Source organism: Homo sapiens, chromosome 18, assembly GCF_000001405.40.
Source record: "Homo sapiens chromosome 18, GRCh38.p14 Primary Assembly".
Lineage (NCBI taxonomy): Eukaryota > Metazoa > Chordata > Mammalia > Primates > Hominidae > Homo > Homo sapiens.
Window position 1 is genome coordinate 10066486 of NC_000018.10, and position 15355 is coordinate 10081840.

Here is a 15355-nt window from a genome sequence, read left to right on the forward strand (position 1 = left end):
TACATATTCCATGAACATGGTTGATTTTGCGGATTGCTACCAATAAAAAGTTCTATCACATTTACTTTTAAAATTAGATTTGAAGTTAATTTCATTTTGACATGATTTGAGATGATTTTATGTAACATCATCTAAAAAGTTAAGATTAGAGTGGATTAAAATAAACAGAACTGGGAATACTTTATTCACTCAGTCACTCACTCAAGTTTGTCTAAATGGATGTCCAGATGATCAAAAAGACGGCATCTGTCCGTGTAGTCTAAAGTCACACAGACATTCGTATTTTCTGAAGATCAAGAATTACAAATCCATACGCTGTACAAATTCCATAGAGGTTAAACCTCACCTCGTAAATAGGTGTTGACTTTTAAAACTGACAATCAGACATTCCAGCTGCATGCTGATAAAACTGTCATTCCTCCCTAGTTTTTGTTAGAATCCAGTGAATACTAAAAAAAAGTTAAAATCCTGCCTTCATGAGTTACTGAGTGAGACAATCCAAGTGGGAGGTGCGGCCTCCACAGCCCACACCCCAGCTGGTCCACCTGCAGGCTGCCTCTGCCAGGCCCAGGCTGTGTGTCCATGGGGCAAACCGCTCACCTGGAGTCCCTGAGGAAGGGAGCACACAGGCGGCCCCCTTCAGAGCCTGGATGTCCTGGGAGAGACACGGCATTTCTGGGAGTGATTACCTTGTGCAGGAAGGGACAGCCCACTGGGGACAGCCCTAAGTGGGGAACTGCCTGACCTGCAGTTGCCCAAACGCCATGGAATCAACCAGACCCAGGAGCCTCACAGCCCCTCTCTTCCTTTAAAGCTCCCTACATACCTCCTCCAACCCATATCACACCCACCCTGCCTAGCACAGGCCACAGAAATAGCTGTCCCCAGGCCACGGACATGAGGCAGAGCAGGTGGAGACAGGAGAGAACAGAAGCCAGGGGGCATCTGCGGAGGAAATGGTGGGGATACAAAGGAAAACCTCCCAGGTCTGCAGCGGGAGCGGCAGAGCATCGGCTTTTCTGCTGACAGTTGCAGATGCATCTCTGGACCAGGAGTGCAAAGCTCTGAGTTCTGGTCCCCGCTCTGTCACCAAGCTCCAAGGTGATCTCTGGCTAATCACTCCCTTCTCAGTGAAATAATGGGACAGGGCCAGATAACCTGCAAACTGGTGCCTCCCGCCCTTACCCAGCTCCCCTGGGAGGGGGCTCCTTCCCGGGGTTCCTCCAAATGTGACCTGTGCGGCAGGCCTGTGCTTATGCTCAGAGCTACACCGTCACATTGCACAGGGAAACCTCGATTCTGGGTGTCGTTAGGACACAACGAAGGCCTAAGCATGCCCGAGCCCCTGGTGACTCCACTAGGCGGGCACAGGAGTGTCTCAGAGATGTTTCCCTCCTGAGCACCGGCCCTCTTCCCGTTCCCTGCTAATCTCTGTGTTCTCACTGGGCTGAGCACCTTTGTTCTTGGCATGGGAATTTCCATGTGTTGAATATGCTTAAAACATTTTTTGAGAGGTTGCCTTTCTAAATATTTTGGTTCTTAACTCGAGAGTTTTGCTGCTTTTCAGAGTTGGTTTCCTTTTTATGTGCTAAACTCTTGCTGGGAGAGATCAGAGTAACCACCTGTGCCGGTGGAATTTCAAGTCTACCACAGAGGATAAAAGCCACAATAGTGGCTGGAAAGAAATGAGAGTGAGAAGTCCTGTCTGCACCCCTTCCCTGCTCTGTTTTTCTGCACAGAGGGCAAATGTGAAAGTGGAAACCATAATATTGCCCCGCAGAATGAAAACATCTGGGGTTTGGCTCCTTTTTCCTGTCTTTGGACAACATTTATTATCATCTTGAGATTTAACACACCTATTTTTGCCAAGCAAATGGTGTTATGATGGTGAGTGAGATGACAAGTGCAGCCGCAGAACCCTCACCGGCTGTCTCCCTTCCTGAGCGTCTCTGAACTGACTGGCCCTTGGTGAAACTTCAGCCAACTAGGGCTTCATTCCTTTCTCTGTCAGCCTTGCGAGTCTTGGACATGCTTTTCTCACTGAGTTGTCAGCGTCTCTGGGTTTTCTCATTGTGCACTGTGCACAGTGCCGGGCACAGAGTGTCTTCCTACCATCCTTCTTGCTAGGGTCCTCTGCCATTTGTGGAAGCCCCCTCTATACCTCACACTGTCTTCTCACAGGGCAGCCTATGCTGCCTTCCTGACTGTGTCCTGTGATGGCGTGCAGGACTGCAAGGTCACTTTGCAGAGCGTCTGTTTTCTTATTTATAAAATGGGAATCATATCTATCTTCTCTTTCTCCTGAGGTGGAGGTGAAGGTCAAGCACAGAGCCCTCCTGGCATATCCAGTGCTCTCTCCGTTATGAGGAGGGGTAAGGAGTGAGGATGGTGTTTCCGGGAAAGCAGAGGTGAGGCCCGCTGGACTCCAGGCAGCTCTCTGCTCTCCTTGCCTTTTGCCTCAGGTAAAAAAAATAAATAAATAAGTGCAATGGCCCAGAACACAGTCACCCTCCTCATTCCCCCTTGGCTAGGATGGAAGGCATTGCTAACAGCGGGTAGTGGTGACTGGAGAGGACTTGCAGTGTCCCATTTGCAGGAGCCATGGGGACGGTGATTTCTGTGGAGTGGGAGGGGTGAGAGGCATGGGTGGGCCTTGCTTTCTGCAAGATTCGATTCGTCCGATCCGCCTACCTTGCCAGCTCCCCGCCTCTCACAGCGAGCCTCCGGAGATTGGGAAGCGGCGTTTCCTCACCTGCCAGTGCTCCTGTACTCCAGCTCCGCAGACCCCACTCCAGCCTCGCGCCTTGCATCACACACATCAGAGCAGCATCTCTCAGGCCAAGCCCTTCCACATTTCTGCTGCGCTCCTGGCATGTGGCTAACCCCGCATGGCTTCCTACATTTAGTCATGGATACCGGAGATGGGAAGGGCTTTAAATGCCAGTTGGTCAAGGCTCATTTCACATATGAGGGAAATGAGATCCAGAGAAGCTGAACAACTTACCTGAGATCACACAGTTTGCACTGTAGAATTGGATAAGAACCCCGCTCTTCAGCTCTCAGCCAGCATCCTCGTGCTGTGTGAAGTGATGGGTATATTGGCCATAGCTCGGGATGTGCTACACCTGGTGCATGTGCTTATCCTTTTATAAGCTGTGCTCTGTGAGCATTGCTGTAGGAGGCAGGGTGGAGACATGGGAGAGGGCAGTGCTCAGAGGTTCTGAGTTCTAGTCCTGCTGGCACCAACTGGCTGTGATCCTGGGCAAGGCCCACTGCCTCTTTGGGGCCTGTTTTTCTTGTTTTAAAGTAAAAAGTTTGGACTGCAAGGCCTCTTTCAGTTTTAAAAGTCTGAATCAAATCCCAGGACTTTGGGAGGCCGAGGCGGGTGGATTGTTTGAGGTCAGGAGTTTGAGACCAGCCTGGACAAGATGGTGAAACCCCGTCTCTACTAAAAATACAAAAAAATTAGCTGGGCGTGGTGGTGTGCACCTGTAGTCCCAGCTACTTGGGAGGCTGAGGCAGGAGAGTCGCTTGAACCCGGGAGGTGGAGGTTGCAGTGAGCCGAGATGACACCACTGCACTCCAGCCTGAGAGACAGAGCGAGACTCGGTCTTAAAAAAAAAGTCTGAATCGGTACTAAATGATGGACCCACATTGAAAGAAAGCCTGCTATTTGAAGATGCTTGCTAGTGAATGCCAGGTCTTTTTGAAAAGCGAACACTCCATCAGTTGTTGTTGGGATCATTTCAGATTTTTGCATGTCAGTCGGTCTGGAGAGGAGATGATGCTCTGAAGGTGCTGCCTGGCTCTGAACTGTGGAAGCCAAGAGCTCTGGTGGGGTTGGAACTGAAGGTCCACCACATTTGCCCCAAGAAGAACATCCTTGCTGGCCTTGCTGAGGGAGCCTGGCATGCATCATGCTTGGCAATTGTCTTCCTGAGACTCCCCTGCTGGGACAGCGACAGGGCATGGGGCCCTGAATGCATGACAACAACAACTGCAGGTCTCCTGACCCTTGTTTGTAGAGGTGGGTCATCTCTAGTACCGACCTCCATCCACCTGCGAAGCAGGGCTGGTCACTTTGTTACCAGCCACAGCCCTCCCCTGGAGGGATCTGCAGTGTAAACGGATCATGTGAGTGCTGACCTTTGCAAAGGTCCAAATGTGGTCAATTCAGTTATTCATACCAGGCAAGGAAGCTGCCTTATGAATAATTCAAAGTTGTTGCAAATCCACAAACCTTTTTCACATTGCCTGCTTGCAGTAGGCTCTCCATAAATGTTTACTGAATCACTGAATAAATTAACATATGAATGAATATTTTGCAATAAGCTTTTGGTATTTACATTTGCACATCCATCTGTTGATGCTCTGAGGATCAGCAGCAGTCCTCACAAAAGGGCTCAGGCATGCTCCCAAAACAGGCCAGAAAAGCCAAGTGGGCCATGGTTCTCTCTTGCTCTGCAAGGGTGGCGGGGAATAGAAAAAAATGTTCCCATGGCTGATACAGCCTCTAGCTAGAAGCTGTGAGATTCCTGACACACGCCATGCCAGATTTGTGTGGCTTAACACTTTTATTCTGCTTTTATAACCCTCTCCTCTAGCTTTGGTTAAAACTACTATGTGGTCAGCAGAATGGCCCCCCAAAGATGTTTGGGCCCTCACCCCTGGAAACTGTGACTATGTTACATCATGTGGGAAGAGGACTTTGCAGATATGATTAAAGTTATGGACCTTACAATAGAGAATTATCTTGAATTATCTGGGCAGGCCCAACCAAATCACATGTGTCCTCAAAAGCGAAGAACTCTCTTCACGGGAGTCCGAGAGATGGGGCTGAAGGAGAAGTGGGAGGGATGGAAAGGTGAGAATGCTCCATGGGCTGTTAGGGGCTTGCAGAGGGTGGGGCAGTGAGTCCAGGAATGCAGGTGGCCCCAAGGAGCTGAAAGGGCCCTGGAACCAGTGGAGAAATGGGGACTTCCATCCTGTAACTATAAGGATGTAAATTCTCCCAACAATATAAGTAAGCTTGGAAATAGAATCCTCCCTGGAGCCTCCAGAAAGGGACACAGCCCTGCCAGCACCTTGATTTTGGCCTGGTGGGACCCTAAGCAAAGAACCTACTGAGCCACCCCGTGGCTGGACTTCTGACCCACAGAAACTGTGACGAATATATGGGTGATGTTTTAATTTACCAACTTTTATAGCAGCATGCTAAGACAGCAAACAAATATCACTGTGGCTTTGGACACGTGGCTTCAGCTCTTGGGACCCTGTTTCTTCCCCCTGAGTTTGAAGGGTTGGGCCACACGATCTCTGACACCTCTCCCAGCTCTCAGGTTCTAGGATTTGCTATCAATGAATACCAACAGTTTTTGGAATCAGGCTTTGGAGTCAACCAGGCTGGGTTCAGATTGCCACTTTACAACTTGAAGCTGTGCTGCCTTTCTGTGTTTTTCTTCCTAATCTGTACACAGGGATAATAACACTGCCTTACAAGGTCTTAACGATTAAATGGGATCATGTATGAAAAGAAACCTGGCTCATAGTGTGTACTTGATAAATATCACTTCCTTTCTCTATCTCATTTTTATAGTCCTGCCATTGCAAGCTGGGTTGCCCCCCACAAAACGCAAGGAGGCATCTCAGCAAGTTTCAAGATTTCCATCCTCCTATAGCTGGGACTTTTGGCTAAAGCTCTAGGAACAAGGACATGACTCGGGACTGGCTAGAGTTACAAAGAAGCTGAGAAGTGCACAGAACTGTAAGAAGCAGGCACTTTTGGGATTTGCTGTCAATCTCAAACCCCAGCAGCCCAGCCTGGGGTCCCTGTCAGGTTGCTCACTAGTGGGGAAGACCTCAGGTCCAGGCGACTGTCATCCAGGAGCAGGAGCTGGTTCTTTTTTTTTGGACTCCTAGGTGTTAGGCTGGCTCAGTTCTGCAGCTTCTGGGCATCAAGTAGGAGGTTGGTGTCACTTATTGTGACATGTGATGTAGTTCTAGACTTTTCCAGGCTTTCCAGTGTGTCTGTTTCATGGGATTTGCCATCTACAGTTCAGAAAGCTGACTGATCCAAAGAGAAGGATTTTGCAGTGGGCTCTTCAGTTTTCCGAAGCTCAGGTTTAGCTTCTTTCATCATTCTTTGCGACGGACCCTGCTGTGGTGAAAATGAGATGTTAGGTCACTTATTTCTTCAAGGACGACAGGTGCCTGACCACAGGTGTGGATAACACCTGATGTCCCCGCGGGCCCATTGCCACTGCTCTCAGCCTTCTGCTGGACTCACAGAGTTTATGATGTTGCCAACAGGCACGTCTTCCCCTGGCTCCTCTTGGAAACAACTAGGACCTTCAACAGGAACCTGGCTAATAAAGAAACCACATTATTTCTTCATGCCCTGGGACAGCTCTGACTCATGATCAATAAACCACACTGTCCTGTGTTTGGAAATGGTAGCAGAAAAAACTTCATTTAAATGTAAGTTAGGGAAATATCCAGTCCTATTTTAGTAAAGTCCTGACCCCTAAAATGGCAGCTATATATACATTAGGATAATCTGGGTGAAATTTTAGCCTGGAAAATCTGAGCAACTTTCCCTTAATTGCGTCAGTTCCCTTTTCACTGGGCCCACAGGGATTTAAACACAAGAACAATCTCAGAGGACAGCTGAATTGAGATAAAACACAGGGTTAGCAGGTACTTTGGCCGACTCAGAGCCTAGGTTCAAATTCTGGCTCTGCACCTTACTAGCTATGTGACATTTGGCAAGTTACTTCACCTTTTTGGGACTCAGTTTCCTTGTCTGCAGGGGTTGCTATGAAGATTAAGGGAATTTAAGTGGGAAATATATAAAGCATTCAGAACTTTGCTTGGCACCAGGCAAGTGCATGGTATTAGGTTGGTGCAAAACTAATAGCTGTTTTTGCCATTACTTTCAATGGCAAAAAACCGTGATTACTTTCACATCAACCTAATATAAATATTAGCTATCATTGTGGAATCTTATTACTGTCTTCATATGACCAGACATCACTGATCCCCTGAGCCAATCCTCTCCATGAGAATGAACCAGTCTGAGGCTAGGCGTGGTGGCTCACACCTGTAATCCCAGCACTTTGGGAGGCCGAGGTGGGCAGATCACTTGAGGTCAGGAGTCTGAGACCAGCCTGCTCAACGTGGTGAAACCCCGTCTCTACTAAAAAAAAAAATACAAAAATTAGCCAGATATGGTGGTGGGCACCTATGATCTCAGCTACTTGGGAGGCTGAGGCAGGAGAATCACTTGAACCCGGGAGGCAGAGGTTGCAGTGAGCTGAGATCGCACCACTGCACTCCAGCCTGGGCAACACAGTGAGACCCTGTCTCAAAAAAAAAAAAAAAAAAAGAAAAAAAAGAGAACGAACCAATCTGATCCTATGAAGCAGTGAGCCTTGGATCAACCTTTTCACCTGGGGTCCTCCTTGGGTACCTGGCACTATGGCCCAGCCCCTCTTCTCTTGCAGAATCTTTGGGAACTGGCTGGCAGTGGAATTCTCCAAGTCAGGTGAAATCATTGTCTCTCATGTATCAAAATTGCTATTTCGGATGGACAAACTGTTTTTTCTAACACATCTCTAGGACTCAGCTTAAAAAAAATTATGTCAATAGCTTTATTGGCTCCAGATCAGCAAAAGAAAAAAGGGGGCAGAAAGCTCTGCCTTTCAACAGAGCAATCAAAAATGCTGAACCTGTCTTCCCCTGAAGACTTATTTATGGCTTTCTTTTCAGAATTCTTTCCTTTGGTGGTTAGACATGCACAGAGTCTTTGAAGTGGGCGAGACATGTTTTCTGCATGTGTGAGCAGCTGTTTCCCTGCAGGGCTGGTTTGGAAGCAGGTTTTTCTTATGACTTCTAGTCATCCACTGAAAGGTCTGTCATGGGATTTTGCACGGGACTTGGTCATGGTGGACAAATAAGAGGATTGTAGAGGTGACTCTTCATCCCCACTGTGAAGTGATGGTCTTCAAATGCTCCTCTCAGGCGACACCTTTTGAGGCTCTGGAATGCCCCCCAGAGGGTATGATTCCACCATTCCTCCTGTGTGCTCCCACCTTGCTCCTGTATCAGAAGCTGCATCAATATCAGCTATGCACATGATAAATCGAAAGCAAAGCTGCAGTGCAAACATCACTGGGGTGGCTTTCCTGTCACGCCCAGGATCCCAGCGCCAGCATCCAAGCCTGACTGGGTGATGTGTCCATCCCATCGTAACTGCACAATGATCGTTCCAGTCTCTGCTTTTCTTCTAAAAGCAAAACCTACCCTTCCACGGTTACGTGTTCATTAAATGAGACAACACAGAAAGTAAGGATAGGCAATGCACAGAAAGCACTCAGTAAACTCTCTTGTTATCACTGTCATGATCGCATGTTGGTCTAAGCAGGGCTTTCAGACAAATAAAGGCCCGAAAGACTGCGTCAGTCATTCACCCATATTTCAATCTCTGTCTCACTCTCCTGTCTTAGAAAAGAATAAACCTCCTGTGGTTCTGGGTCCCCTGTGGCTACCTTACTATCTCTTTCCTTACAAAGTCAGTATCCAGGAGATTTACGTCGTTGACATTTCCTCTACTTCCCCTCAACCTGTAACCCCCCCACTGTCAGGCTGTGCCCCCATCAGCGCTCTAGACCCTGGCTTCCTGCCATGGTCAAGCCCAGAGGCCTCGTTTGAGGCTTTGGATCTGCCGGGTTCAGTAGGGTGTCCAGCTGTGCAGAAGGCTACAGAACATTCCAAATGTGGCCGCTGGGCACCAAGGAACGGAATTTTTAATTATTTTACATTTAAAAGCAGATACTTTATTCAGTTATTGAAAAACCTTTAAGTACAATTGGAACCACTTGCATCTGTGAATGTAGTTTTTCAACTGTAAATTGTATAAACTGTAAATACAGATCAAGCATTTCTGATGAAAATCTGGTGTCTGAATTGAGATGTGCTATAAGTGTCAAATGTGATACCAGGTTTCCAAGATTTGGTTCCAAAAAAAGAATGTAAAATATCTCGATTTTTTATATCTTCATTACATTTTGAAATCACAGCATTTTGGCCGTATTGGGTTGAACAAAATATATTATTAAAATGGATTTCATGTTTTGGTTTTCTTTTTAGGGTTGCTGCTTTCAAGCAACGTTGGTGGCTTGCATTTTATTTCTATCGTTCTGTGCTGCAGTGGGCATTTGCTCCTGGAAATTCTTTGGCTTCTGAGCTCCAGGCTCTCCTGCCGCCTCTCCCACCCCAGGCCTTTCTGCTTTCCCTCTGTATACTGGTGGCCTCACAGCCGCTCCTCAGGGCTGTGCTTCCAAGAGTCCTGTCCTTGCACTTTTTCTCTGTCATATGGTACATCTTGCTGTGAGACTCCCCTGTTGCTTTTTGCTTGTGCACCAACTTCTAACGTCTGCCTGAACCTTTCTGCAGACAGTTGCAGCACAATCCTCTCTGACACCAAACTCAACACGCTCCAGGTCATTCCATCCCCTTCCTGCAGAATCCTCATCCTCTTTCTGATTGCTGTCCCTCTGAACTGTGTCCAAATCATTCCTGCTAGAAACTGGGGGCAGCCTAGAGTCCTCCCTTACTCTCATGTCCAGCATCTCAACAGATACGGATCCCACAGCTTCTCTCCAGTAAATACAATTCAATCAGCACCCCTCTGGTCTGCACCAGGCATGAGCCACGTCCCCATGACCCCCTGTCCTCATGGCCTCCTGTCCCCATGACCTCCTTTCCTCATGACCTCCTGTCCCCATGGCCTCCTTTCCCCATGACTTCCTGTCCCCATGGCCCCTGGTCACTATGGCCTCCTGTCCCCATGGCCGCTGGTCACCATGGCGTCCTGTCCCCATGGCTGCCCTGTCCCCAAGGCCCCCCTGTTCCCATGGCCTTTTGTTTCTATGGCCTCCCTGTCCCCTAATCCCCTGTCCCCACCCTCTCTCCTTGTCAGCCAGTCTCTAGGTCTAGGCAGAGGAAGGTTTGCAACCTGACAGGCTCACCTGCTTAATTTTCTTCAGTGGTGTGCATTTATTAGGAAGATTGCTAAATGCTTCTTGATATGTTAGGCATCCTGCTTGAAACCTGAAGAGGGAGACACTAGGGCACAGAAGCATAAGGTACAGTCCTCATTTTCTTCCTGTTCCTCAGGACAGTACAAAGGCCCTTTGTCCACTTCTCCATCTCACATTCCCTTTCAGTCCACTCCAAGCTCCCTCTGTGCCAACAGGTGTCCCTGGCAGTGAGCTGCTCCATGCTGTGACCCAGCCTCCCATCCTGCCCACCGGTCACCTCCACCTCACTCCTCCCTGGCATCTATACAGATCCTCCACCCATGTAGGGCGGCACCCTCTCTCTTCTGTGCCCCTCTGAACCACGTGGCGCCTCTGTCACATTACCTGGTAACTGACTGTCCCTGGGTCTTACCAGCCTGGCCTCAAACCACATTGTATTAAGATTAATGTTCAAATCATGGCCAGACTGCATGGTCTCAACTGGGGACTCAGCTGCCCCGGCATCCCTGTTGGCTTTCTGAGAGGTTGGCTCTCTGAGAGGCTGGCTCCAGAGCTGGGGCTCAGGTCCATGTTCCTCTCCCCGGACCCCTGAGATGCCTCACCCTGGCCTCTGCCAGGAGGAGTGTGGCCTAGGAGTGTTGGGGGCATTAAGGGGTTCATTGTTTGCAAAGAATTAAAAACACAATGATAAAAACTAAAACCAACTCGAGGTTCGTCTGCTTTCTAGTATCACCCTCCTCTGGCAACTCTAAACAATGGCAGAGAGAGAGAGCACTGCTCCCCACCCCCAGGGTGGCCTCTCCCACTGCAGCCCCTGCCCCCTCAAAGCATTTGTCCTAGCCACTTATCCCACCATCTTATCATAATTGCTGGTCTACTTCTCTACCTCACCTACTAAACCATATTATTTTAAGGGTAGAGGCTAGATTTTTATATTTATTTTCTCAGGGCTTAGCATAATCTACAATAAAGAACGTATTAAAAAACTTATTGAATTAATATATTAATAGATTTTCTCATTTATCAGAATATCATAAGCAGGAAATTCTTTGTCAACTAATCGAGTGGTAAGAAGACAGTAGGAATTTATTTAAAATAATCTTGCATTATTCTAAGGTTACTAGAGTGCCAGCCAATGTTTTACACTTTTGTTTTACGGTATAGGAAAGGGATTATTGCAAGCAGAATGTGAATTTGAAGTCCTTCAGGATTCTGATCAACAGCAAGAGCTTTAATGAATGCATTCATTAATATTTCTTACTTAGCATGTGCTAGGGCTTGGGCTATAGAGTAAAGTGGGAAAATGGACCTATGTATTTTATTGAGATTTCAGCATTGACAGTAGAATTATTCTGGTGAATACTGAACTTATAAGAAAGTCCAACTAAGCAGATGTGGAATTTTGCAGGCATTTCCCAGGATAAAGTGACATATTCCCCTCCCTCCTGGTGAAGCTTCAGCTCCATTAATCATGACCACTTGGACACTTCAATGAACTCATGGAAACAGTCACTGCCATACTCTGAGGAGGTCTATTGATTTCTAGGTGCCTTTGCAATTTGTGACAGAGATCAGACAGTTTTCAGCCATCTGCACAGATTCTATTCATCCCTCTGTGTGTGTGTGTCACATGCGTGCACAGAAGAAAGGCTTGCCAAGTTTATCAACCAGAGTCTTTAAAGATCACGTGAAAGTCTTGTTTTCTTTTCAAGGAGAAGCCTCTGGTGTCTGGTGCCTTTGATCTGGGCATGAGACGGCCTTGCCTTTGTGTACAGTGGAGGTGAGTGACCATCCAAATTACGCAGATGAACTTACTGAAATTGTGGAAGGTGTAGTAGTTAATTTGGTTTAATGATTTACAGCCATGCTTTTGAATATTAAAAGGTCGTTTGCTTTGAAAGTCTGCCTACAGTTTCCTAGATCAGTGGAAGAGCATGAATCTCAGTTTGTCAATATTGCAAGTGTGTTTTGGGGCAAGATTTGTTCACTGGGCAAGAAATAAGGATTATTTTAGTCATGTACACATATCTCTACGAACATTCATAAAAGTTGGTGTGAAATAGGATGCATAGAACATGTTAAAGAAGTCCTATTTGGCTTTAATGTGCAGACTTGGACCTTAACTCAACCCTGGTGTCCATCTTTCTTCCGTGGAGTTTTTCCTTCCAGGCTGAAGCTGTGATGTGAGCTTCAGGGGGCCTGAGCAAGGGCCCACAGTCAGAGTGCTGGCCCTCACTGTGGCAGATGGGGCGAATACTTACACAGTCAGGCGCGGCCTAGCCACAGCAGTGCCTTTGGAGATAAGCATCCATAGGCGATTTCATCATTGTGCGAACATCGCAGGGTGCACTGACACAAACCTAGTGGGTGGAGCCCACTACACACCGAGGCTGTGTGGTGTGGCCCATTGCTCCTACGCTGGAAACCTGTGCAGCATGAGATGGTACTGAGTACTGCAGGCCATTGTAATACAGTGTTTGTGTGTCTACGTGTATCTAAACATAGAAAAGCTACCATAAAAATATGATATAAAACATAAAAAATAGCAGTGAGTGGTGAGTGAATGTGAAGGCCTACCACATGATGTACATCAGGGGTCCCCAACCCCAGGGTCAAGGACCAGTACCAGTCCGTGGTCTGTTAAGAACCGGGCTGCACAGCAGGAGGTGAGTGGAGGGCAGGCATTACTGCCTGAGCCCCACCTCCTGTCAGATCAGCTGCAGCATTAGATTCTCATAGAAGCACAAACCCTATTGTGAACTGTGCATGCAAGGGAACCAGGCTGTGAGCTCCTTATGAAAATCTCATGCCTGATGATTTGAGTTGGAACAGTTTCGTCCTGAAATCATCCCCGCGCTGGTCTGTGGAAAAATGATCTTCCATGAAACCAGTCCCTGGTGCCAAAAATGTTGGGGACTGACCGCTGATGTACATGACTGTAGACTTTATATACACTGTATATAAAGTGTATATAAAGTATACTTGGGCTACACTAAATTTATTTTAAAACCTTTTTCTTCATTAATAAATTAAACTTAGCTTACCATAACTTTTTTACTTTATAAACTTTAAATTTTTTTTAACTTTTTGACTCTTGCAATAATACTCAGCGTAAAACACAAACACATTGTACAGCTGTATAAAAATATTTATATACTTATTCTATAAGCTCTTTTCTATTTTTAATTTTTTTTTGGCTTTTAAAAGTTTTTTGTTAAAAACGAAAGCACAAACCCACACATTAGCCTAGGCCTACACAGGGGCAGAATCATCAATATCACTGTCTCTACCGGAAGGTCTTCTGGGGCAATAACTTTCACGGAGCTGCCGTCTTCTAGAATAACAATGTCTTCTTCTGGATACTCCTTGAAGAACCTGCCTGAGCCTACTTTACAGCTACCTTTTTTTTCTTTTTTTGGTAAGTAGAAGGAGTACACTCTAACAATAAAAAGTATGGTAAATACACAAACTAGTAACATAGCCATTTACTATCATAATTAAGTATAATGTACTGTACATAATTGTACGTGCTAGGCTTTTATAGGGCCAGCAGTGCAGTAGGTTGGTGAGCAATGGACCATGATATCAGGACGGCAATGATGTTACTAGGCAAAAGGAATTTTCCAGCTCCATTATAATCTTATGGCACCACCATCATCTGTGCAGTCTGTCATTGGCTGAAATGTCTTTATGCAGCACGTGACTGTATGTTTGTGTGTGTGTGTGTGTGTACAGGGTAGTGGGTCATGTAGCTAACTTTTCATCTGAGGTCTGGTTTCACATAAGCAGCCTGAGGTGGCTTGTGGCCAGGCTGGTGAGTCCTGGTGCTAGTCGGGTCCCAAAGGTACTATGACTGAAGTCTCCATGGGGTTCTGTTAAACTGGGTCAACTTAGCTAAGCTGGGAGGATCTTTGCCATGTCAGCGTTCATCACAGGAGATATCTGAGGGCCTTGGAAGGGGTGAGTAAGGAGCAGGTCTGAGCAGGGCAGGTGCTGCTGCCACTCAAGTCCCAGGTGGCCCGCCTCAGGCCGCAGCAGCTCCAGCTTCCCGAAGGTCGTCCTTCAGCTTCGGCAAATCCTGCAGGTTGCCCGCATCACAGGCTGATGAGAGGCAGTGAGAGACGCTTGTTGATGTGGTTTGGATATTCATCCCCTCTAAATCTCACGTTGAGATGTACTCCCCTGTGTTTGGAGGTGGGGACTGGTGGGAGGTGTTCGGGTCGTGGGGGTGGATCCCTCATGGCTTGGTGCTGTCCTCACCACAGTGAGTGAGTTCTCTCAGAGATCTGGTTGTAAAAGTGTGTGGTGCCTCTCACCACTCTCCCTCTCTTGCTCTTGCTCTCACCATGTGACATGCCTGCTCCCCCTTCACCTTCTGCCATGAGTCAAAGCTCCCAGTGGCCTCCTTAGAAGCCGAGCAGTTGCTGGTGCCATGATTGGCAGAACTGTGAGCCAATTAAACCTCTTTTCTTTATAAAATACCCAGTCTTGGGTATTTACTTATTGCAACTTATTGAACTGCCTAACACGCATGCCTTCTTACGCTGTTGGTCTTCCCACTTCATGTTCATCGTGCTTTCCTGAGGGCTGGCCTTGCTGAATCCCACCGAGCACCAGATTGGAGGTACCAGACCCACACAGACACCTCATTCCACTCCCATGAGGGAGGAAGGGCCATTCTCTGCAATAGATCCCTACTCGACACCACTTGAAGTGGTTCTGCAGCCTGGAGTGAGCCCTGGCTGAAACACACTTCAGCTGTTTCTGAGAAGCAGGATGGTCTGCTCTCCTCTCTCCTAGGGATGAGGCACAGGAGGGCAGGCTCTGGCACAGGAGGCTGGAGGGCAGGCTCTGCGATGTGGGGAAGTAAGACATAGCTGTGGTGGTCTCTGAACCGTGCGTGCAGTAACAGGAAGATTGTGGGCACAGGTCTCCTTTGCAGGATTTTAGAAATAGGCAGGCTCTGCTCTTTCTCCAAGAGTCACATTGCTGTAAGGCAGAGGAATAAAACCACTTCTCGGCAGCTCCTGATGGGACACAGCCATGGCCATGGAGCAAGGTGATGAACGAGGCAGAAGCGCCCAGCTGAAGCCCTAGCGCCATCCACCTCCCACTGCAAGCATGTTGACCTTTGACAGCTGGCTTTATCTCTACTGCACAGTGAAGGATCATATTACAGAAATAGCAATGCCTATGCCACTTGGCTGTTTGGATGATGAAACAACATGATTTTTGCTTAAGTGCCATGTAATCCACACAGTGTTACACACATGTTATTTCTATTCATGTGGCTATTAAAACAGTTAAGCTTTGGA

The 15355-nt window shown here is 47.4% G+C and overlaps 2 annotated features.

The window, feature by feature from the left end:
• Window positions 2189-2690: an enhancer, noted in NCBI's record as "H3K4me1 hESC enhancer chr18:10068671-10069172 (GRCh37/hg19 assembly coordinates)". NCBI's record gives its function as "activates a minimal SCP1, AML or CMV promoter by ChIP-STARR-seq in naive H9 embryonic stem cells {active_cell/tissue: H9 hESC(naive)}" and the evidence as "EXISTENCE:reporter gene assay evidence [ECO:0000049][PMID:30033119]".
• Window positions 2691-3190: an enhancer, noted in NCBI's record as "H3K4me1 hESC enhancer chr18:10069173-10069672 (GRCh37/hg19 assembly coordinates)". NCBI's record gives its function as "activates a minimal SCP1, AML or CMV promoter by ChIP-STARR-seq in naive H9 embryonic stem cells {active_cell/tissue: H9 hESC(naive)}" and the evidence as "EXISTENCE:reporter gene assay evidence [ECO:0000049][PMID:30033119]".